The 25266-nt window shown below is 37.7% G+C and overlaps 1 long non-coding RNA gene across 3 annotated transcripts in view; it reads left to right on the top strand.

Annotated features, from left to right (window-relative positions):
• Positions 1-25266, top strand: part of HCCS-DT (HCCS divergent transcript) — a 263596-nt gene that overhangs the window by 37047 nt on the left and 201283 nt on the right. For 2 of the 3 annotated variants that reach the window (NR_186563.1, NR_186562.1), the window contains one exon: positions 18056-19853. This is a non-coding gene — a long non-coding RNA (HCCS divergent transcript). Of the gene's footprint in view, positions 1-18055; positions 19854-25266 lie in introns of those variants that run through there. The other variant, NR_186561.1, reaches the window with a different exon arrangement.

Here is a 25266-nt window from a genome sequence, read left to right as displayed (position 1 = left end):
TGTGACTTTGTAATGTGGATATTGAGCTTGATCACCTGGCTGAGTAGTGTTTGTCAGGTTTCTCCACTGCTAAGTTATTCTTTTTTTTTTTTTTTTGGCCCTTTCCATACTACTTTCTTTGGAAGGAAGTCACCATGCATAGATCATATTTAAGAAGTAGGAAATTATCTTCTACCCCCCGGGGGCAGAAGATCTATGAGAATTATTTGGAATTCTTCTACATGTAAGATTTGTCTGTTCTCCCATGTATTTATTTATTCAATTATTTATTTATATCAATATGGACTCATGGATATTTATTTTATACTTTGGGTTATAATCCAATACTGCTTGGATTGTATTCAATTATTTATTCATAACAGTTTGGACTCATGGATATTTATTTTGTACTTGGGTTATAATCCAGTGCTGCTTTATTTATTTTGTTGCTCAAATTGTCCTAGCTGTGGCCATTTGGAGCTCCTTCACTTGGCTCCTGTGTCCCTTTGGCATACTCTCATGATTGTGATTGTTTGTTTTTTTAGTACTTCTTTACTTCTAGCACTACAAGATGCGCCAGGCTCATTTTGTGTGTTTCCTGCACCAGCTTTAGGCTTAGCCATCTCTCCAAAACTCCCTGGTTTCTTTTATTTGAGAATGATATTAAAAACCAAGATCTGGGTGCTAAATTGGCTTTTTACTAGTAGGCTCTTTCATCTGGCAGAGCTAGGAAATATATGTTTGCAAAGTAAGCCATGTATGTGCACATATCTATAAATATTTCCATATGTGAACATTTGTATCCACATTAAGCCAAGCATAAATCGCTATTGATTTTTGGCAGTATCTATTAATTTTAAAATGGACATACACTTTTACCCAATACTCCTAATTTGGAGACTTATTTATCCAGAAATAAAATTACAAATAGATGTATATATAGAGCAAGGGATGTTTACTGTAGCATTGTTTATGGAAGAAATTACTAGAAATTATTGTTCATAGAAGTTTATTACTAGAAATAGCCAAAGTGCCTATAAAAGTATGAACATTTTAATAAATTACTATATATTCATACTGTGAAGCATTAGGTAACCATTAAAATATAATTAATCCTTTCATGTATTAATCAGAAATATATCAAAGATTTTTTGGTAAATGATAGAAGCAAATTGTAGAGTAATAGAGTCCTATTTTTTTAAAGTTTGTAAAAAGTTTTTTTTTTTTTAATGTAGGTACATGTTACAGTGGGCCTGAGAAAGATGTAGAGAGAGATGTAGAAAAATGTATACCAGACTGTTAACAAAATTGTGGGATTTTGGAGGAATCAGAATATTATTTAAAAATGCATATACCTTAATATTATATGCTTCCTATGATGATCACACTTTACCTCATTTTATGTTCTTAAGATCTAATAAGATCATTTCAATCATACACAAGAAAATATGGAGGGATGGATTTGGACTTACATGGGAAAGGTGCTTGAATATTATTCCACTTTAATTTGCATACTGTAAGCTCTATATGTTGTTACAAATTATCTTTTGGGGCTATCATTTGGGGAAACATACAAGATAGAACAGAACTTCATTATTAGAATTGTGAAAATCACAATGGCATTTGAGAACCTTGTTTCAAATATGTGTTACTGTCTGCTAAAAAGATACCACATTGTAGTCTGGTGATAGTTAATATTTCAATCACATAAAAATGTTTATTTATAGATATATTTATAACTCCCTATTCAATAAAAAGAAATATACCTTTTTTCAGATTCTTAAGTTGGTGAACAAGTCCTCCTCTTTTTTTCCCAGGTCTGATCTAAGGACACCTTGTTTTCACTTTTCTCCTCTGTGAAATACCAGAAAGAGAGATGAGGTAGCTAATTCAGCATTTATGAGTTGGAGATACAATTTCACCACATTAGGCAGTGCATCTGAAATATTCCCAGCACCTCTCCTGGACACCAGCAGGGCTGCTGGACAGTGGTGGCAGGAGTGTGCTGATTTATTCTCAGGTTAAACACAACTGCTTCTCCTCCTCTGTTTCTCAATATTGTTCTGTTATAAATTACCAGATCTTCTCAGAAGTAAAGAGAAAAACAGGCATAAGGATGATGACAAGACCATGTTCGATTTCTTGTAGGAAATATTCTTCAGGTCCAATATAAGTATTTTATTGAAAACTTAAAGTTTGCTTATACTTTCAATTTTTATTAATTTTATTAAGTAGTAAATACTATATTTCTAAAAATGCTAATAAGCACTTAATTAGGATATTAAAAATTAAACCTCCAATAGTTTAAATGTAGATAAACTAATATTAGTGATTTAGGATTAAGGGGGGTTACAGTTCTAGAATGTTTTTTAAAGCTCTTGTTGGTAAAATTTTAGAAAAAATCTTTAATCTGATATAGCTTGTTCTGTTCATCCTCAATGAACATTTAGTTGGTAGTTTCACATAGTCCTCTTTATGATGGCATTGCCAACTTCTTTCACTTGGAGATAGCATAGCACAGTGAAAATTGCGTGCAGTGAGAACTGTGGTGGTACCAGTTCTGGGTTTGAATCTAGCCTCAGTCAAGTTTTTCAATACCTCAGAAACTTGTTTTTTTCCTCTGAAATGACAATGAAAACACTGCCTTGAGGATTAAATTAGGTAATATACAAAGCAGCTAGAATGCCTGTTTAACAAATGATAGTCATTGATGTACATATGAAACAATTTCATCGCTCTCTGCTTCTAAATAGTGAGCCAATGAATAGAAGCAGTAACCTATCTGCTTAAATGAAGAGAAAATGAGGTGATGATGCAAGGTAGGTGAGCCCCCAAATTGGGGCTTAGCCTAGGAGGATTCTTGCCTATGTCCAGGAAAGAATTCAAGGGTTAACCAGTCGTGTTAGACAGTAACTTTTATTGAAGCAGCAGAGGTACTGCTTCTTGCAGAGCAGGGCCATCCCATAGGTAGTGTGCCCAGAGTAGCAGCTTGGAGGCAGTTCTGTAGTCATATTTATACCCACTTTTAATTATATGCAAAATAAGGGGCAGATTATGCAGAAATTTCTAGAAAAGGGGTGGTAACTTCCAGGTCATTGGGTTATTGCCATGGAAGGGGGTGGTAACAACTGGGTGTTGCCATGGCAATGGTAAGCTGATGTGGCACACTGTGGGCATGTCATGTGGAAAGCTGCTTCCACCCCATCCCTGTTTTAGCTAGTCCTCAATTTCGTCTGGGGTCTGAGAGCCCCATCTCCAAAGTCAAGTCCCGCCTCCTACCTCAATTCAGAGCTGTGCAAAGGAAATTAAGACCATGACTTTGAATTAAAATAAATGTTAGATAAGGAATCCAACTCCCTGAAACACATTTAATTATTATAGCCTAATATTACAAGGGAAAATGTCAGTATTTAAAGGAGCCCTCAAATGTATCATAGAACTACCTTGGAGGATGAATCATTTATGACTGTGGTTCATATTTTATTTTACCAAACCAGAATAGGTTTTCCTCCAGAAGTTTCAGAGCAAATATATCCTTCTCAACATTAATTGCATTGTCTCCAATTAAACTTTGATTGTTGCCAATTCACAGGAAATTTGGTTTGAAGAAAGCATTTACAGTTTTGGGATAACATTCATTGCAATGCCACAGAAGTAGAACACAGATTAAAGAAACACTTTCCAAACCAATGTCTGGATTTTGTTTGGAATTATCCTCAAAACCCCAATTCTGAAGCTTAACTGGGAATATCAAATGACTTTCCATGTCATTTATCCCTCCTATCCCCTACTTGTCCCTCCTTTCTGCTGAATAATTTTTTCCTCTAACTATGGCATTATTCATTCAACTGAACTAACTACCATGAAGGTGAAGCATACTGAAAACCCACACAATGTCAGACGTGGAAAAATCAGCTAATATTTTCAATTGTGTTATAAAAAGATATGGACTATACATTGTAGTCCATTCATGTTGCTTCCTTTTGGAAGGTCTTACCTAGCACTGACACATGAAGCCAGCTGTGCCTGCCCAGAGTTGGAAATGTTACAGGTTTCAAGAGGCAGTTCCTTGTGCTTGTATTTGGAAGGCAAGCTCCTTTGTGTGGTGTCCCACCCCACCCTGTTATTGGTATGAAGCTACATATTTCAAAATGTCTTGCTTATGAATACCAGGCAGAAAAAGCACCCATGTAAGCATTTAAAGAGAGGGAAAAAGGACTAAACTGGATGAAGAGAAGCATAAATGAATTTTGGAAACCCTGTTTGTTTTTCAATGAGATCCCCTGCTTCCTTTTTCCTCCCCCTTCTTTCAATCCTTATGGAACTATTTCAGAGCCAAAAAAAAAGAAATTCAGGGGAAAAATAATGTTTCAACTTTCATAATGTTGCAGTATTTCTTCTCTTTGCATTTTTCTTTTCATGTTGAACAAATAATTCGTTTTTATTGTATTTTACCCAATTTCCTTTTGAATTTGCATTTCTGAAACCTGGCCATTGTGGAAACACTTATAAAAAAAATGTGACCTATTATTTACTATCAGATTTTGCCTATTGGAGTCACTAGCATCTGCCAGTTTGCATCTCTCTCCCTACTGCATACACACAAATCCATTCTCTCTTTCTTGCCTGTCCTGAAGACTGTTGCATTTCTGCGATTTTTATAACACTCAATTATTTTGGGATCTCTTACAACTTTGTTGTGCACCACTCATATTTAAGTCCTTAAGGAAATTCTACAATAAATAATACTTTTAAGGCTACAGCTTATCTCTTTGCAAATTTATTTATTTTATTTTTTGCTTCATTCTGTCATATCATGACCAAGATTACAAGCCAGTCTACCAGTTGCTGTATGTGTAATTTCTGAAAAGAAGAAACTGTTAGATTCAAAGTATAATTGTTTTTGTTTTCAATAATTCATTCAAAGCAAAAATTACCTATCTAGTTTTGTGAATCCTTAATTATTTTGTTCTATCTATATTTATGTTGTCTGTTGCTATACTTATGTGAAGACAGAAACGTCAAACTAAAGGAAAATAAAAATCAAGGAGGTGTTCTCTTCCTTCCTTCCTTCCTTTCCTTGCCCCTTCTTCTTTTTTTTTCCACTGAGGCCTTGTCAATTTCTTTACTATAAAGGACAGGTGAAATCAGGAGAATAATGATTAGTTGCCTTTATAAAAAAGGAGGAGACTCCTGGTATCTTCTAAAAGAGATGGTGACTTTTGAAAAGGGAGCACCCACTCTCCAGGTCAATACAAATGCTTAAAATATGAGAATTATTTTTGCCTTAGAATTTTGGATCATTTCATTTTCTGTTTGGTAGCAGAATAAAATAATCACTTTTACTCTTCATCTTCTCATCCTTGTGGACTCTCTTCTCCTTTATCCCCTTCAGTTTGTCACTTAATTCTTTTTAGCCCATTAACCAGAGGAGAAATGTATCTGGAAAAACTATGGTTGGGCTAGACCCGTAACAAGCAGCTAAATGAACTTATGAAATCATGTTTATCCGAGCTATTACCAGCTTCTGCTAACACGCACACACACACACACACACACACACACACACACACACATACATGACTAGACTAGAATAAGATTTGGTTGATTTTCTGCTAATATCAGGGGTTTATATAAAATTTTTAGAACCTAAACAGATGTCAAGATATATCCTTTTCCTTCCTAACTGTACACTATTATGCCTGAAATAACAGGATCCAGAATTATTTAAGTTTCTAGTGCCAGCCAATTCAAAATAGATTTAAAAGTAAAATGTATTGGTTTATGTAACTGAAAGTTAAAAGAATTAGTGCAGACTTCAGGCATGGTATGATCCAGGGAGTCAAATGATGTGGTAAGGAGATATACATATGTGTCTTTCTGTTTGTCTGTATATCTATCTATCCATCTAATCTTTTTTCCTTTTTAAATTTTCAGTAGTCTTGTGCCTTTTTAAATGTTTTATTGTGATAAAATATATACATATAACATGAAATGCTATTTTAATCATTTTTAAGTGTATAATCCAATGGCATTAATTATATTAGCAATGTTATGAAACCATCGTGACTATTTGTTTCCAAATCTTTTCCATCATACCAAACAGAAACTGCATACCCATTAAGCATTAACTTCCCAACTCCCCCCTCCCCAAGCCCCAGCAACCTCTAATGTACTTTCTGTCATTATGCATTTGCCTATTCTAGATATTTCATATAAGTGGAATTATACAATATTTGTCCTTTTGAGTATGGCTTATTTCACTTAGCATAATGTTTTTAAGGTTCATCCATGTTGTAGCATGAATCAGTACTTTATTTCATTTTGTGGTGGAGTAATATTTCATTATATGTCTATACCGCATTTTGTTTATTCATCCATTGGTAGATAGATATTTGGGTTGTTTCCATCTTTTGGCTACTGTGAATAATGCTGAAGTGGACATTGGTGTACAAATAACTGTTTGAGTTTCTGTTTTCAATTCAATTGGGCATATACCAAGGGGTGGAATTTCTATAATCTTGATTCCTTTTTCCTCTCCATGGCTTCATCCTTAGGTGAGCAAAAACAACTTGGTCCTCACTCCTACAGTTCTTTAAAGAAGGCAGATATTTTCTCTCCCATTGCACATATTAACCCCAAAAGAGAAAGTCTGATTGGCCATGTTCTGATACCAACCCTTGGATCAATCACTGTACATAGAGAGAAACTCCTTCATAGCTTCATGACTAATAACCCTACTGTGTGGGAAAGCAGTTTTCTACACAAAAGAGACACTCTGTTTCTATGCTGGGGGTGGGGAGCAGAGGAAGAGACATTTGCTTGCAGTGTCATCCCAGGTGTGGGTAGAAAACTCACCTTGGTTGTTTACCAGGGACCCTTGGGTGAATGGAATACTTTAAGAAAGATATAGTTAGGGTTTTGACAAGAATTAGGGAAAACAGAAACTGTCAGTGCTGCCAATTGGAATACCAATTGCTATCACCTCTCTGGAGAACATTTTGATAATATCTAGCACAGCTGAAAATATGCAGATGTTCCGATCAAGCAGTTCTGTCCTTAATATAGTCCCAAGAAAACCTCTTCCCCTAGTGCCTAGGAAACACGGACAATACTGTTCATTGTAGTACTGTTTGTAATGGTGAAAAATGGAAAACAGCTGAAGGTTTCATTAGCTGACTAAAAGATAAACTGTAGTGTAGTCATAGAATGGAATGTTATGCTATCATTAAAAATAACCTAGATTTATATGTATCAAAAAAGATGGACTCAAAAGTATAACACTGAATGAAAAAAATAAAGTTTCAGTATCATAAATACTATTTGCAATAGCATTTATGTAGATACTAGAAAACATACAAGACTATATTATGTATTGTTTTGGGATATATTATGGGATTAAGATGTATATGAAATAAAATTAAAAACCTGTGTACTGGAAGAGTACCCAACAAGTTAAATAATGAAAAGGCAAATGGGGCACAAAAAAAAATCAAGGGTTTTTAAAAATTAAACTGCTCTTTTTTATTTTAAAAATAGCTAAGTTATATTGAATAGATGTGAGTAGTTGCTAATTTTGGCTGGTTGATACTGTATTATTTTCTTTTCTTCACTGTTCCATATTTTTCAAGCTTTTCACAATTAAAAGAAGTAGCACACAGTTGGAGTTCAAATAGAAATTCAATTTTTTTCTTTAATATTAAAATTTTGGGATATGTAATAGGTATCCAGTTTATCCTAAGCAAATTAATGCAGGAGCAGAAAACTAAATAGCATGTGTTTTCACTTATAAGTGGGAGCTAAACATGGGGTATTCATGGACATAAAGATGGCAGCAATACAAACTGGGAATTACTAGAGAGGGGAGGGAGGGAATAGGGAAAGGGTTGAAAAACTAACTACTGTATACTGTATTAGTCCTTTCTCACACTGCTGTGAAGAAATACCCAAGACTGGGTAATTTACAAAGGAAAGAGTTTAATTGACTCACAGTTCCGGATGGCTGGGGAGGCCTTAAGAAACTTACAATCATGGTGGAAGGTACCTCTTCACAGGGTGGCAGGAGAGAGAATAAGTGCAAGCAGGGGAAATGCCAGGCACCTATAAAACCATCAGATGTGAGACTCACTCATTATCATGAGAACAGCATGGGGAAACCACCCCCATGATTCAATTACCTCTACCTGGTCCTGCTTTTGACACATGGAGATTATGGGGACTACAATTCAAGGTGAGATTTGGGTGGGGACACAGAACCAAACCATATCAGGTACTATGCTTAGTACCTGGGGTGACAGAATCATTTGTACCCTGAGCCTCAGCATCACACAGTATACCCAGGTAACAAACCTGCACATGTATTCTCTGAGTCTAAAATAAAACTCGAAAAAAATAGGCAGGCAGGCAGGTTTGTTGGGGGGCGGGGGAGAGAGAGAGAGAGAATATTGTGTTTTTTTTAACTTGGTATCTTTCATGTAATCATATGAACAAGCTCTTGCCAAAATCTCCCTGCCATGCTATGCTACTTCACGCCATTTTATATCATTTATGTGTTAGAATGCATTTTGTCTTTAATCTTCCCTGTGCCAGAGTATTTCCCCTAAGAAAATGCCCAGTGTGTTTCCCATTAACCTCAAAATTCCTGCCAGGGTTCAGCCTTACAACCCTGAAATGCCTCCTATCATTTCAGCAAACAGTGAGACTGCTCCCTGAACATTAAAAGCTGGCAAAAGTAAACTATCCAAATCAGTATTCGTATCAGAAGAAAGTCCTGGGAGGTGAAGATGGATTTCAGAAATCCTATTCATACCAAGAGGAAAAAGTGATTAAATAATTGTGCGTGAGGCAGTTGGTGACAGCCTTGTCTCTTTTGGTTTTGTAAAAACGATAACAGAAAGATTTGCAATATCATGCATGATTCTGAAGTGGTAAAAATTTTATAATAGAAACTTAAAGGCAAGAAATAGAATTGCAGAGAGAGCATTGCTTGCTGAGCACTGACATCATTGCGTGGGAATGAATGAGTATTGTCTTACACAATGGAATGCATTCTATCTCTCCTCTGAGAGGGAATTTGGCTTGGTATGCAAATTAAAATATTGTTTTGAAAAATCTGTTGCATCAAATTACAGAAAGAATTTTTTCGCTAATCCAGTTCTTTGGTCCATTGTTGGCAAAGCAATTGAGAGCAGGCTCGTCTAGCCAGTTTGTCTGGGGCTCCAGTCTTGGATTTTGTGCGGAGCCCAATCAAGGAGAACTGTCCTTTGGCAAAGAAGCAAAAGAGCCCTAAATTCTTGGGGTCTCTGCTTAAATGTTTTTTTCAGGCATAAAAGAAGGAAGGATAATTTGCTTGAAATACTTGTAAACCCTTAAAGGCATTTAGAATTTGAGTGTTTGTTATTTTGTTCTCCCTTTGTTGGGAAGTTGGCAGGTGAGCGACTATGTAGCTGGCTTGTGTTGGTAGGTGGCCTTCCTCTTCTTTCAAACTTACCTGAAGGGGCCTATCCCCAAATAAAGTCTTTCAGTCTGAAGTTTTGCAGCCTGGAAATAATCTGAAACTATTCAGAAATGTCATACGTTTCACAGCTCTGCTCCCCAGTGTCCTTGGCTGGCGTGGCCCTGAGTTCGCTGATGGGGATTCAGAGAACAACTGACGCCAACATTCATGCTCATGGCTCATGGCTCATGGCTCATGCCTCGCTACAGGGCAGTGGCTTGTGAAGAGTTGTCCTGAACAACATCATCAACATCACCTGGGATCTTGTTAGAAATGCAGATTCTCAGAGTCCACCCTAGACCTACTGGGGATGGGGCCCAGGAATCTGTGATTTAACAGGTTCACCAGGTGTTGGGGTCTACAATCAAGTTTGAGAACCACTGCTCCAGGATAATCTGTCTGTTTGGGTGTAGAAAATCCCAGTTCTGAGCTCCTTCACTCTTCCTCCTCCTGTTGTAATAATTGTTCCTTATTGAAATAGTGTTAGAATTATTGAGGAAGAAGGTGGAGAGAGAAAACTGGCATTCATCAGACAGCTAGTATAAGTCAAGTGCTTTACATATGCAATCTCAGTGTTTCAAGCAATTATGAGAATAGGTCATTTGGCCCAATTTACAGATGAACAAACTGAATATTTAATTACTTATTGTAGCAAATGTGGTTGTTTGGGTGTTCAATGATGATTTCTTTTTTTTTTTCTTCTTTTGTTAACAGAGGAATCCAGATTTACTGCAGGTATCACGTAGTTCTGTGTTCAGGAAAGAGGGCCCAGCCCCAGGGTATGGAATATGATTGGGTTTAAGTCAAACATGGTATTCCTCCTCTTTTCCAGTGATTGATTTGAATGTGGCCATGTGACCTGGTTCTGGCCAACTAAATGTAAGGGGAAATTTGTGGATGCTGTTGGAAAAATGTGTTCTCTCTGATTAAGTAAAGACTTGCATAAATAAAAATCCTCATTCCTTTTTACATTGGACTGCTGTCTTGTGAGGATGCAGTATTTGTTTGGAACCACAGCAGCCACCTTGCAACCATGAAGAAAAAGTCAAGGGAGAGCGGTTGAGATTGCCCTGCCTGGCACTGTTCTGTTTCTGGATTTTTGGTTGTGTGAGTTAACAAATCTCTGTTGTTTAAGCCATATTTTATTAGGTGTCCTATTATTTTCTACTAAAAGCGTACATTCTGAGGGTACACATGTTTACCAGGCACCAGAATAAAGATTAGAATCCAAGTTTGACTGATGGTAAACATCATCCGAGTTTGTTCTCTCTCTAACCTATCTGCCCTCCTGCCTTTTCTTCCAATAAAAATACATTTTGCAGGGGTATATGGATAATCTCTGTGTCTTCCTCTTAATTTTGCTGTGAACCTAGAACTACTCTAAAATAAGTCTTTAAAAAATTATAGTTACTTTTCAGTGACCCCCTCCACCACTAGATAATTAAATAAATAAATAAACTTTGTCTACAATCAGTCTACAGAATTTAAACTCCTAGAAAAATGACTAGCAATGATATGAAAGTTTTTGAAAACATTATATTAAGTGCAGTTTATTCTAGGCCAGATTGTCCCAAGGAATGTTTTATCAGTGCTTTTCAGGTAGCCCGATGTATTTCAGGTGCACATATGATAAGTACATTCTTCTGGTAAAAATCCAAGTATTATACAAAACCAAAGCTTTCCATGACTCAACTCAATTCCACTTTTCTCTCCAGAAGTAATCATCCATCTCCTGTTAATAACATGTTTTACTAGTTATTTTCTGTGCATTTATATATTTATATGCTCAGATCAAGATAAATTTTTTAAAAATAGCATTTTTGCATATATTGTACTGATTTTTTAACTTCACAGCATGTCTTGCACATTTTTTCACATCTGTTAAGTGTACTTTTATATTATTTTCTTTTCTATATAAATTATTTTCTTTTTTTCTATATAAATATTTTCTTATTATATTCAGCCTAGTGCTCTATCATAGGTGCATACCAAAGTTTTATTTAATTATCCCTTTGGCTAAAGCAATACTTGGTACATAATAGGCACTTGATAAACATTTGTTAAATGAATTTGTCTTCGAAATTACTTAGGGAGTTTGCAGTTTTTCCTTGTTTTAAACAATATTTCTATGTAAACTTTAGAGTCCGTTTGCCAATTTGCCCAAAATAAATCATATTTGGACTTTCACTGGACTTTTATTGGCAAGGATTGACATTTTATAATATTAAGCTTTTGCATGCTTTTTTTGCATGTGTATTTCTTCAGGATAGATATTTTGGAGAGAAATTGCTGACTCAAATGGTATATGAATTGTAAAGATTTAATAGTTATTACCAAAATTATTTTTAATTCAACTTCTCCCATTTATTGTACTATCAATTGTATATGATGGTAGCAATAATGGTGATGATGACAGTGATGATGGTAATGATACTATATTGCAAAAGAACCCAGTGCTTTTCTATAATAATTTATCTCTGCTTATCCTCAAATGTCTGATGACCTTCAGCTTTTATTACTGCTCATTTTGAGTGTGGAGAAAAGTTCTGATTCTTTAGCTAAACCCATGTTAGGAAAATTTGCCTTGCCTGAGAGTATGCATTTTATGATCACCACCAACATATTGGACTAGTCCCAGTTAAATGTTGAGTAATGCCTTGAACCACTGTCATAAAATGCCCTAGGATGGCAAAGGAAGACTTCTAGAAGGGATGACAAGCAGTGAAAATAAAATAAATACTTGACTATTGGTTCATGTTTATGTAACTGTCTTGCTGAGTACTAGGTATCCCAGCTGAGCACCTTGAAGTCCCTATTTCCTAATAAATCTCCAGATCTCTGTGAATGGACAGATCCCTGTACCTTAATGGAAGCACTTACCTGGCTGCCTTCACTTAGAATTTATTTTTACATTTTAAGCAGGCTATGCAAAGTTTGCAACTCCTAATCTTCATCATACCATGACTAGTTCATCTTGTTAAACTAGCAAAACTGTGAACAATTTGAAGAGTTCTTCTTTTGCTGTCATTTATGTGCCTATGAGTTTTAGTTGTTTGTGTTTCTTTGGCAAAGTATTTGCATGCCTGAGGATTAATGCCACTGACCCAATTAACAGTAAACCTGATCAACTGAAATAACTCGTGTGTATCACACCACATTAAGCACTGATATTTCCTGTTTTAAATATAAAGTTTCGTTCTAAATAATAGATTAAATCCTTAAGAAAATGGTTGGGGGATTTATGAATATTCAGAATTGCTTAGATTCAATGATTCAAGTACATTTTTAAAAAATAAAGTCTGGAACTCTTGCTTAGAGATAACATTTTTATCATCGTAAATATTTATTTAAAGATTTAAGACTTTCAAAATATGTCCCTATGGGATGTCAGATATAATACTGTCACTGTAATCTTACCATCTCTTGTAATGCTATTGCCCAAAGGTCACTTTGGGGCAAAATCTGTTTTCCTTTATGTTTGCCTGAGGAGCAACGTTGCATCCAGCAGAACCACTGGGAAAAGAAGCCCTTCCCCCCGACCTGATTATTGAAGCAGACTCTGGCCCATCCCAGAGAGGGACTCCCTGACCTACATTCCTCCTTCCCTGGCTATCAGACAGGGTGCTCCTGCTGAAGCAGGAGCTGAAGTGTTGGTGAGGCTCCTGCATGTGGCCCACTGCTCTGGTCTTAGATGATTCTGAAAGATCTGCTACCTGTCCTGCAGGAGCTGCTGGTCAATGAAAATCCTCCAGATTGATGATGGGAGTGCATTGGGGGAGATGAATTCATTGTGAGTGAATACATGAAAACTAGAATGCCTGTCCAAATGTTTATTTTGAAATCCAAAAGCTATCCTCTGTCCACTGCTGGAACCCTCGCTTGCACGTTTGAGCTTAAAGCTGTCGAATATCAAAGCCTGGATTGCAAATCCACACATGGAGAGAGGCGATTTCTAGAAACAGAGGACATAACCATAGAGAAAAGAATACTTGGTCCTCACAACTCAAAATGTGGCCCATGGAACAGCATTGCCCCGTTACCTGTGAGCTTGTTGGAAATGCAGAACCTTGGGCTCCACTCTGGACCTATTGAATCAGGATTTTAATTTTAACAAGATTCCTTGGTGATTTGTATGCGCATTAAAGTGTGAGAAGTGCTATTTTAGGCAGTGTTAAGACTAGGAGATGTTCTTGTTCTCACTTACAGTCACCTGTAGTCAGTTTGGAGTATGTCAAAGGACCCTCACAGGAAAGTGTTTGCATAGACTTATATAGAGAACTTGAGATCAGAAGTGGCAATAATGAAACAGTCCAGCAGTTAATGGTAGAGCTCTCACCAGCCATACAGTCGATAAGCTCTGCGTGGTTAGAGTAGGAATCCCCAATGAATTAAAGGCTGACCCTAAACAATTATAGGCTGACACTGAAAGATTATAGCAGTGACACATCAGCAGGTTTTGGGTGAATCAACATGAGATAACACTGGCTAGAGACAGCTAAAAGGAAAAGATCACTCATTAAGTATGGGATTGTGCCCTTTTTATAGCAAGCCCTGTCTTGTCTGTAGCTGTCCATTAAATGCTATGAATAAGAAAAGTAGTATGATTTTAAAAATATTGACCTTGGGTGGCTTGCAGGACCTGGCTTTTAACTCTTGTATCATGGACTGAATTTGGAGCTGACTCATTCTCAATATTCTGAAATAGCGATATTTGACCATGTACAGTTAAAAACCGAGGTATAATTATACTTCAATAAATTGCACAAAACTTTGTTTCAGTTAAGTTTTGAAAACTGTATGTACTAACCATCCGAAACCAGATAACATTTCTACCACACCAGAAGTGTCTCTTGGCCCCTTTTGGGTCACTTCAATTACTGTTTTAATTTCTATCATCATATATTATTTTGGCAGTTCTAGAACTTCATATAAATGGATTCATACATATATACTCTTCTGTTTGACTTCTTTCACTCAGCATGTTTCTGAGAAACGTCCATCTTTGGGGGTGTATGAGTAATTTATATTTTTTATTGCTGAATAGTATTCAATTGTATGAACAAAGTTTTATCCACTTACACATAGGTGAGCATATAGGTAATCTCCAGTTTTGAGCTATTATGCATAAGACAGTTTCGATCATTAGTAAATAAGTCTTTTCATGAACATGCATTTTCATTCAGCTACAGTAGTTGTCTAGGAGTGGAATTGCTGGGTCTTAGGGAAGATGTTTGTTTAACTATTAGAAACTGCCAAACAGTTCTTCAAATTGGTTGTACTATTTCATACTCTGACTTAGAATTTTAACATTTTTAATTAGTGGGTTTTTAAAATTATTTTTTTAGAGAAGGATCTTGCTGTGTTGCCCTGGAACTGCAGCCTCGAACTCCTAGGCTCAAGTGTTCCTCCTGTCTCAGCCTCCCAAAGTGCTAGGATTATAGGCATTAGCCACTGTGCCCAGCCTACACTGTAAATAGAAATGCACAAGAGTTCTAGTTGCTTCCTATTCTCACCAATATTTGATGTTGTCGGTCTTTTACATTTTGGTTTAATTTGCATTTATCTGGTAACTAAAGATATTGGCCACTATTTTGTGTACTTATTTGTCTTTCATACAATCTTGTTTTGTGATGTATCTGTTTGAGTAACTCTTTTGCCCATTTTTATTGGGTTGTCTTTCTGTTGTTGACTTGTGGGAGTATCACAGATAGATTTCTCTCAACTTACCTATGCCTTCAGTACCTCAGAGCCTAGAGTGCCTCAGATGTGCTTTCTGGAGTTTTCAGTTCTGTTTTTGGACATGGCTGCCTTGCACTTAGGAAAGTCCTCATTTATCTCACGGGTGTATCTTTTTTCTACCTATCCCAGCTTGATATAGTTTGGATGTTGTCCCCACCCAAATCACATGTTGAACTGTAATCTCCAATGTTGGAGATGGGGCCTGGTGGGAGGTGATTGGATCATGGGGGCGGATTGCTCATGAATGGTTTATCACCATCTTCTTGGTACTGTCCTCACAATAGTGAGTGACTTCTTGTGAGATCTGGTCGTTTACAAGTGTGTGGCATCTCTCTCATCACTCTCTTGCTTCTGCTCTGGCCATGTGATGTGCCTGCTCCCCCTTTGCCTTTTGCCATGATTATAAACTTCCTGAGGCCACCTCAGAAGCAGATACCATTATGTTTCCTATATAGCCTGCAGAACCATGAGCCAATTAACCCCTTTTTCTTATAAATTATTCAGTCTCAGGTATTTCTTTATAGCAATGCAAAAACAGTCCAAAACACAGCCTTTGGCACAATACCCTGAGCATTTGGTGACAGCCTATGGGAATGATTTGATGGGTCAGTGCAGACCCTGTGGCTGAGCTCCTTAGCATTCTCATCTGTCACACCAGATCACATGTGACCATTAAACTTTTGTTAAAATTTTGCCTAGTTTCTCCTTGTTCTCTTCCATGGTGGATTTCTTCTCCACCCATCATTTTGCTCAGATTGAGAACAATTAGGGCCGTCTTCTCACCTATGAGAGGCTCACTGTTTTCCGGAACCATGTTGATTTATGTTTCTTTGCCTCCTCCACTCTCTGGTGAATTTTATAAAACTTAGATTTTGTAGCTCATCAGGCTTGTTTTGGTGGTTAGGGTGAGAATGATGCTGTCTTGTGACTTTCTACATTCTAGCCAGAAGTGGAAGTACTGCACATTTTTACCCAGTCCATTCCTTCTTGAAATGTGCCAGAAATGTTGTCTACTGAAGCCTGGAGAAAGACATTGCTTTAAAAATAACAAGCCAAGATGTTCACAATGACCCAGTGTAGAGTGGAGTTATCAGAAGAACCAACCACATTATACATTTATGCTGATAATTTAAGGGTTAAATTAGCAACCAGTAAACCATGAGAGCTGTTGACCCTGAGCACATTACTAAACATCACTGTGACTTAGTTTCCTTGTTTATAAAACAAGAATCAAAAGAGTACTTACATCATGGGATTGCTGGATGATTAAATGAGTTAATATATATAAAGTGCTTAAAAGTATACTTGGTGCATAGCAAATGCCTGATAAATGTAACGTTAGCTGTCATTATTAATATATTGCTACAAATGACTGTTGTTGTTCCAGGAGAAGTTTTTCTAGGAAGAATTTATTTCTTCTCAGTCAATCCCTCTTATGTCCTAATTAAACATTAAGTTAAAGCTTTCTTTGGGTTTTCATGAGAGCTAACAGATCTAAGCAGCCAATACTGTGGTCTATTTCAGTTCCATGAACAAAAGGTTGGAAAATTTTGGCTTAAAAATTGGTGCCTGTGGTGGTGTCAGAGGCGTTCAAACCAGAGTGGCTCCATCTTGAATAGGGGCTGGGTAAAATAAGGCTGAGACCCACTGGGCTGCATTCTCAGGACCTTAGGCATTCTTAGTCACAGGACGAGATAGGAGGTTGGCAGGACTGGTATCACTAGATACAGGTCACAAAGACCCTGCTGATAAAACAGGATACAGTAAAGAAGCCAGCCAAAACCCACCAAAACCAAGATGGCAATGAAAGTGGCCTCTGGTCATCCTCACTGCTCATTATATGTTAATTATATTGCATTAACATGCTACAAGACACTCCTACCAGCACCATGACAGTTCACAAATGCCATAGCAATGCTTGGAAGTTACCTTATGTAGTCTAAAAAGGGGAGGAACTCTTAGTTCCAGGAATTCCCCACCCCTTTCCTGGAAAACTCATGAATAATCCACCCCTTGTTTAGCATACAATCAAGAAATAACCATAAAAATAGCTAACCAGCAACCCTCAGGGCTGCTCTGCCTAAGAAGTAAGCATTCTGTTGTTTCTTTATTTCTCTAATAAACTTGCTTTCACTTTACTCTATGGATTCACCCCAAATCCTTTCTTGCACAAGATCCAAGAACCCTCTCTTGGGGTCTAGATCAGGACCCCTTTCTGGTAACAGTAGAAGTTAATATTATTCAGCAATATCTTTGGTTCTCCTGTCTTTGAGTGGGATCTTCTGTGCGTCCTGACATGAAGCATGCCTATGTGATGCATTGGCCAATTAATTGTGACTGGAAATGTATCACTTCTGGGCAAGTCTTTAAGAACTGGTTTGCAATGCAATTTGCTTCCGGGCAAGTCTTTAAGAACTGGTTTGCAGTACAATATACTTTCTTCCTCATGTTAATGTGACCAGTGAAGTTCCAAGAAGAGGAGCCTCTAAGTGAGGGTGATTTGGAGCAGAGTCACAGCTGGCTCATGGTGGGCCCATAGAATAAGTCAAATGTAAACCTTTGCTTTAGACTGCAGAAGACTTTGGAGCTGTTGGTCACAGAAGCATCCCCAAGCCTCTCCTGATTGACTGATAAAGTACCTTCACAGGACAGAGGGCAGACTGTTTGTTCTGCTCTGTCTGGGCAGGGTTGAGTCTGATGGATACACTAGTCAGGCAGAGAACTCCTGGAGACCAGAGTTTGAGTGGAGGGGTAGCCAGATTCATGGGTACCAGAGTGAGTTCAAACCATATCTAAGACAAGGTGCCAAAAATCTAAGTGTCCACATCTCCCAAAGTGCAGGTGCAGGACCGGAAGCAGAAGACAGAAAGTGGAGACCAGATGTTTGAAGCTGGGTAAAGGCAGGGATGGAGCAGGAACCGAGGAACAAACCTTGGAACTAGGTAAGAAGTTCTCTCTATGACATTTCATTGAGTAGTAAAGGGAGAGCCAAAGCGCTGTGTTATTGGGACAGCTGTTTGTTGTATGGTGGGCTGTTTGACTGAAAGGTCAAGTCACAAGGTCAAGTTCACCACATCTCAGGGCGATTTCTGCTTTTATGAACCAGTCTTCACACCAGCAAGATTCCTTGGCACCTCAAGGTTTGAAGAACAACTACACAACAAAATTCACTCTATTCTGGATGATGATGGTCTCCCAACTCAGGTTTAAAGGGCAATCACTTTCAAATTAACTGGACAATCACTCTCACTCTGCCCCAGAGAATCACTTTTGAAACATCAAAACACCTATTTTGGCTCCCTTTTATGGTACCTTGTCATTTAAATCATACAAAATGTTACAAATACAGAACTGTCCATGTATGTTTTTAATAGGGTCAGCGATATTAATGCAGCAGCAGTGTAAGCAGAGCATTTTAAGAAATTCTTCCGGTCCTTTTGGAATTCAGCTTAACAGACATGTATTGACATAACTAACTTGTTCAATATGTCTTTCTGTAAGTTATAAGTGAGGAGAAAGTAAAGCTTTCCATTAAACTAACAGATGAAATTTTTGTATTAGGGATAATGTACTAATATGATACACACTAATAGGATATATATTCCAAAGTGCTGTTACATCATTTAATGCAAAGTTACCTCCTACTGGGAACTAAATATTATTTTACAGAAAATATAAATAATGTAAAGACTTTCTGGGCACTCAGTAATAACCTGGGATGTGAAATAACTTGATTTGTGGCACTGGCCATGTACAATATCTTTTTGTTGAAGATGATTATCAGAATTCTATGGAAAATGTATTGTCAGGGTTGTAGAATGGACGATTCCTGTTATGATTCACTAGGGAACAAGCTTTTTTTTTAAAATTTTTTTTATTATACTTTAAGTTTTAGGGTACATGTGCACAACGTGCAGGTTAGTTACATATGCATACATGTGCCATGTTGGTGTGCTGCACCCATTAACTCGTCATTTAACATTAGGTATATCTCCCAATGCTATCCCTCCCCCTCCCCCCACCCCACAACAGGCCCCGGTGTGTGATGTTCCCCTTCCTGTGTCCATGTGTTCTCATTCTTCAATTCCCACCTATGAGTGAGAACATGCAGTGTTCGGTTTTTTGTCCTTGCGATAGTGTGCTGAGAATGATGGTTTCCAGTTTCATCCATGTCCCTACAAAGGACATGAACTCATCATTTTTTATGGCTGCATAGTATTCCATGGTGTATATGTGCCACATTTTCTTAATCCAGTCTATCATTGTTGGACATTTGGGTTGGTTCCAAGTCTTTGCTATTGTGAATAGTGCCGCAATAAACATACATGTGCATGTGTCTTTATAGCAGCATGGTTTATAATCCTCTGGATATATACCCAGTAATGGGATGGCTGGGTCAAATGGTATTTCTAGTTCTAGATCCCTGAGGAATCGCCACACTGACCTCCACAATGGTTGAACTAGTTTACAGTCCCCCCAACAGTGTAAAAGTGTTCCTATTTCTCCATATCCTCGCCAGCACCTGTTGTTTCCTGACTTTTTAATGATCGCCATTCTAACTGGTGTGGGAACAAGCTTTGTAAATGATTGTTTTTGTTCTTAGTTGTCCTCTAAATAAACTAGAAAGGTAGAAAGTGTTCACCTAAGTCTGTTTCCATTTGTGGCCATGAGGTTGTTTAATATTATTATTTGTCAGTTAAGTTGTCTGATTTTTTTGACAATTGACTTATTATGGTAATGATACACATTGACATACACTAGCGCATCCACCTATATAGAGTAGGTGTTTAACAAATGTTTGTTGAAAATGATTCTATAAATACATCTATAAAGTTTGAAATCTACATTGTCAGAAAGCTGAAGAAAACTCTTCTGTGAGAAAAAAACAGCAAATTTTAGACATTTCCATCGTTTTCTAATATATATGTTATATATATACACACATAATACATATATAAATATAGGAAATATCTTGAAATAAATATTATCAAATCTTTAGGTGTTTAGATGGAGATTTGTATGAGGAAGGTATATTCAAAAAGAAAGCTGCCTTCACTTAATTTATTGCCTATTTGCTAAAGGTATTTACTCAGTAGATCAGGAGTAAAACTTTAAACTCAAATGTCTGGAGGAATTTAAATATATGTGAATGTGTATGTTTAAATTGAAGAAGAATGTTGACAGAAATAAATCACTTTTAGAGAGAATTCCCAGGACCTGGTCCCTTTTAAGAAAGCTCTCCTGGTCCTTGTGCAAATACATAGTTCTTTAAAGTACCAGCCCACATACTTTATGGGTTTATGTCAGTATGCCTCTGTTTATTTTTGGAATAAAAATCCTTGCTTATAAAAAAGGTAGTTAAGTATGGTACAACATAGCTGTGATCCCTTTGGCCTGACTTAAGAGTTTGTACTTAAGGAACATAAACTAAAGTCAGAGATAATTCAATTAGCATTTTGAACACACAAAGGCATGCTTGCTTCCTAGCTTTCAAGGCACAAAGCAGCCCCATTAAATTATAACAGTAATTACACCACTTGCACACATTCTTCAAAATTTCATGAAGTGCAATGCTGAGCTCTACTTTGAGATGTTTGTCTGTCTCTGGAGAATCAACTGAAATAGGAATATACAAGTCAAATAGCTTAACTCCTTGTCCAACTTCACACAACAAAAATTGCCACTTTCCCTTCTAGGACACATATCCAGTACTCCCTGTTTTCTTCCCACTCCTACTAATCCGTCACTAAACTTCGTGGATGTTAACTCTGAAATGGCTCTCGAATCTGTCCACTTCTTCCCATTTTCCTTGCCACTGCCCTGGTGTGGGGTGCCACCTTCCCTTGCCCATACTCATGGCAGTAGTCTTATACCTGTTCTTCCTGCCCTGACATTGTCTCCTCTCATCTCTCCTCCCCTCTGCACAGAGCTATCCTTTCACTAAAATGAAATCTCAACAATAATACCCTGAGTCTCAGCTTCATCACCTTAATCACTTCCCAGGTCACCCCTGATTCATCTCCTTTACTCTGCACTACCAAAGCCCCTGTAATCACTCTGCTGTAGTAACTGCCACATTTTATTGTGCTTCCTCGCATGGTGGTCTGTTTCAGTAGATCATAAGTTCTGAGAAGGTAGGAACCATGCTTGTCTTGTTTACCCCAGAATTCTTGGATTCAAGCCTAGGGTATACTCTGAAATTGCGAAGGAATTTATCACAACTCTTCAATATCAGAGCAATTCCTGAGCCAAGGCACATACCAATGCTCTCTAACATATTAAAATACTATTTTTTTTTTCGCATGTTGGAGCCTTTATGGTTCTAAAGGAAAATTCCCTAAGGCAGTGTGTCCCAACGGACTTTATTTTACTAGTGAGAATAGTGAAATCATATAAATTTCTCCTTGAACTAAAGGTACCAACTTAAATTCCTTCTCTCAACTTTGACTAAAATGCTAGTAATTAGATTTTAAAATATTTTTATTTTATGTATCCTTTATGATGTATGAAAATGGCATGACATGTAATGATGGTGATATAATAACAAACAAACTGTGATATAAAAATCTGCACGTGTGGGGTGGGATGTGGCCTAAGTTCCTTTAACTATTAATAGGTTAGATGACTTTTTTGTATTTTTCTTATTTCTTTCTCTAATGCCTTTTTTACAGACTTTTACCCATAATTGAAGACTCTAGTTCAGTTTAGGCTAGAGAAGTGAGATACAGGAAGAAAAATTACATGTGTCTTTCTGTGTGATTTGTATGTATATATGTGTGATGATTGATTAACGACTATTATTAGCCATAAAAATAAAACACATGGGGGTTCATGGAACAGAAGTTTATTCACAGCTTATTGTGAAAAAAAAGGTCATTGTCAGTTCAAATGAAATCTCATCTTTATTGTATATGTGCTGTCAAAGTGAGCACTCATCTTTATTGTAAATGTTAAAAGTGAGTAGTGTTGAATAGATTTGGTTCCTGTTATGAAAATAGTAGAAATAAATATAATTCTTGTAAAAGTCAAAACATTCATTTTAATTATGGCCACTGATAGATTTGGCATAAAACCCCATATAAGAAATATAAACCTAAACATGTATGTACAGAAATAATTGTAGGTGAAATGTAAGTGTAGGGTTTGTTTCAAAATAATTGTGGTGTGGGGAGGGAAGAGAAGAGTGGACAGGGTCATGGAGGAAATAGGAAGGGCCCTGAGATGATAGTTGTTGAAACTGAGTAATAAGTATATGGTGAGTAATTATATATCATCATGACTTCTGTATATGTTTGAAAATTTCCATAATACAAAGTTTTTATAAGGAAATAAAGAAAACCCATATGTAGAAGTAGGAACACCCTGAAGCTGATGAAGCTTAAGCCTGAGGACCCACTACTGGATGAGTTCCTTCCAGAATGCTGAGAGGAGCCCTGGGGATGTCTTCATATTTTTTTCTGTAAAACTTGAAAAAGTGAGATAATTTAACCACAGTTGACTAAGACTGTTGTCCCTTCCCGTTTCAAAAGCCCCTCCATCACACTTCCCTTCAAAATGAGAGATGTTTGAGCAGCTGTGGGCTTTTGGGGGATCTAACTAAGGGAAAGTTAAGTTGGGGATATAAAATAACTTTCAATTATCTTTACTCATAGATGAAAGATACAGATTTAAAATTCCCAGCAGGAACATGCACTTTGACACCCGCACAGTTCATTGGTGGAATATACTTATTGATTACCAGTCACTTCTGTGTATGTTATGACTAGTTGCTCTGGTGTAGGAAAGGCTTCCAGGAATACTGTCCACGGTGCTGAGCCACCCTGTGTTGTGACCCAATGCACGAGACCAGAGATTGTATTGTGACCTGAGTGTGCCCCATGTTACTTGTCACCAAAGTATGCAAGTAGTGGGGGAAAAGCAAGATTTGAAATGTATGTAGCCAGAAGCCTGTCTGTGGACAATCTTTCTAATCGTTAGATGTGTAAAATTGTATGCATTGGATTTGGTTCTCATTGATACCTACTTAGAGTCATCTTCAGTCAGAAATATACTTGACGATGCTGCAGTTATAAATGCATCATATTTTTTGCATTTTTATATAAATCAAGAGAAATAGAATTTATCAACACGTTTTATTTACAGGGCATAAATATATACTACCAGAAATATAAACTTAAGTTTATATGTATAGCTGCTTGAATATCCATTCATTGTGTCTTAGCCTATCTAGTGCATTTTTTGCCCTGAGGCAGTGTAGGATTCCAAATAAAAAGACACATAAAAGAGGAAACAGAGCAAGATGGCTGAATAGAAGCCTCCACTGATTGTCCTTCCTGTAGGAACACAAAATTGGACAACTATCCACACAAAAAATGCACCTTCATAAGAACCAAAAATCAAGTGAGTGATCACAGTACCTAGTTTTAACTTCAAATCACTGAAAGAGGCACAGAAGAGGGTAGGAGAGACAGTCTTGAATTGCTAACACCACTCCTCCCGCATCCCTCAGCAGCAACTGCGTGGCATGGAAAGAGAATCTGTGCACTTGGGGGAAGGAGAACATAGTGATCATGGGACTTTGCATTGGAATTCTGTGCTGCCCTACCACAGTGGCTCATAGATTGAGCATTTAGACCAGCCCTAGCCAGAGGGGAACTACCCATCCCAGCAACTGGGACCTTAGTTGTGGCAAGCCTCACCACTGCAGGCTAAAGTGCTCTGGGGTTTTAAATAAACTTGAAAGGCAATCTAGGCCACAGGAAGTCAATTCCTGGGCAAGTCCTGGTGGTGTGCTGGGCTCAGAGCCAGTGGCCTTGGAGGGGGACACATGGCTTAGTGAGACACCAGCTGGGGTGGCCAAGGGAGTGCTTGTACCACCTCATCCCCAAACCCAGGCAGTGCAGCTTGCAAATCTGGAAGGCATTCCTTCCTTCTACTTGAAGAGAGGAGAGGGAAGAGTAAAGATGACTTTATCTTGCAACTTGGATACCAGCACAGCCACAGTAGGATAGAGCACCAGGCAGAGTCATGAAGCCCTCATTCCAGGACCTACCTCCAAGACAACACTTCTAGATACACCCTGGGCCTTGAAGAGAAGGACCCAGTCCAGGCAGGATTAATCACCTGCTGACTAAAGAGCCATTGGGCCTCAAATAATCAGCAGCAGTACCCAGGTAGTATTTGCTGTCGGCTTTGGGAGGGACTCAGAGAAGTACTGGCTTTAGATGTAACCAGGCACATTACCAGCTGAATTGACTGTGTAGAGGGACTCCTTCTTTTTGAGAAAAGGAGAGGGAATAGTAAAGGAGACTTTGTTTTGCAGCCTAGGTACAAGCTTGGACACAGTGGGAGCTCGTGGAGTCACCAGTTCCAGGCCTTGGCTTTTGGATGGCATTTCTAGATCTGTCCTGGGCCAGAGGTGAGCCCACTGCCTTGAAGGGAGAGTCCCAGGCCAGCAGCATTCACCACAAGCTGACTGAAGGGCCCTTGGACCTTGAATGAACATTGGCAGTAGTCAGGCAGTATTTGTCACAGGCCTGGGGCAGTGACAGCCACAGGGAGAGATTGGGAAGAGTGGGAAAAGCAGTGCAAACAAAACCCACAATTAGTAGAAGAAAAGGAAATAATAAAGAGCAGAGCAGAGATAAGTGAAATTGAAATGAAGTAACAATGCAAAAGATCAAAGGAATAAAAAGTTGGTTTTTTGTAAAGATAAACAAAATTGACAAACCTTTAGCCAGACTAAGAAAAAAATGGATAATACCAAAAGAAATAAAATCAGAGATGAAAAAGGAGACATTACAACTTATCCCACAGAAATTTAAGGTTAAATTTCTCATAGAGGTTGCTATAAGCAAGTATATGTCGATAAATTGGATAACCTAGGAGAACTGCATAAATTCCTAGACACATAGAACCTAGCAACATTGAACCATGAAAAAATCTAAAACCTGAAAGGCCAATAATGAGTAATGAGAACTCAGAGGGGGTGGAGCAAGATGGCAGAATCGTAGTCTACATGGTTTGTACCCCACCAGAAACATCAAATTTTA

Source organism: Homo sapiens, chromosome X (assembly GCF_000001405.40).
Source record: "Homo sapiens chromosome X, GRCh38.p14 Primary Assembly".
Classification (NCBI taxonomy): Eukaryota; Metazoa; Chordata; class Mammalia; order Primates; family Hominidae; genus Homo; species Homo sapiens.
The sequence above is the reverse complement of the archived record's forward strand: the minus strand, read 5'-3'. Positions and strand labels throughout refer to the sequence as shown.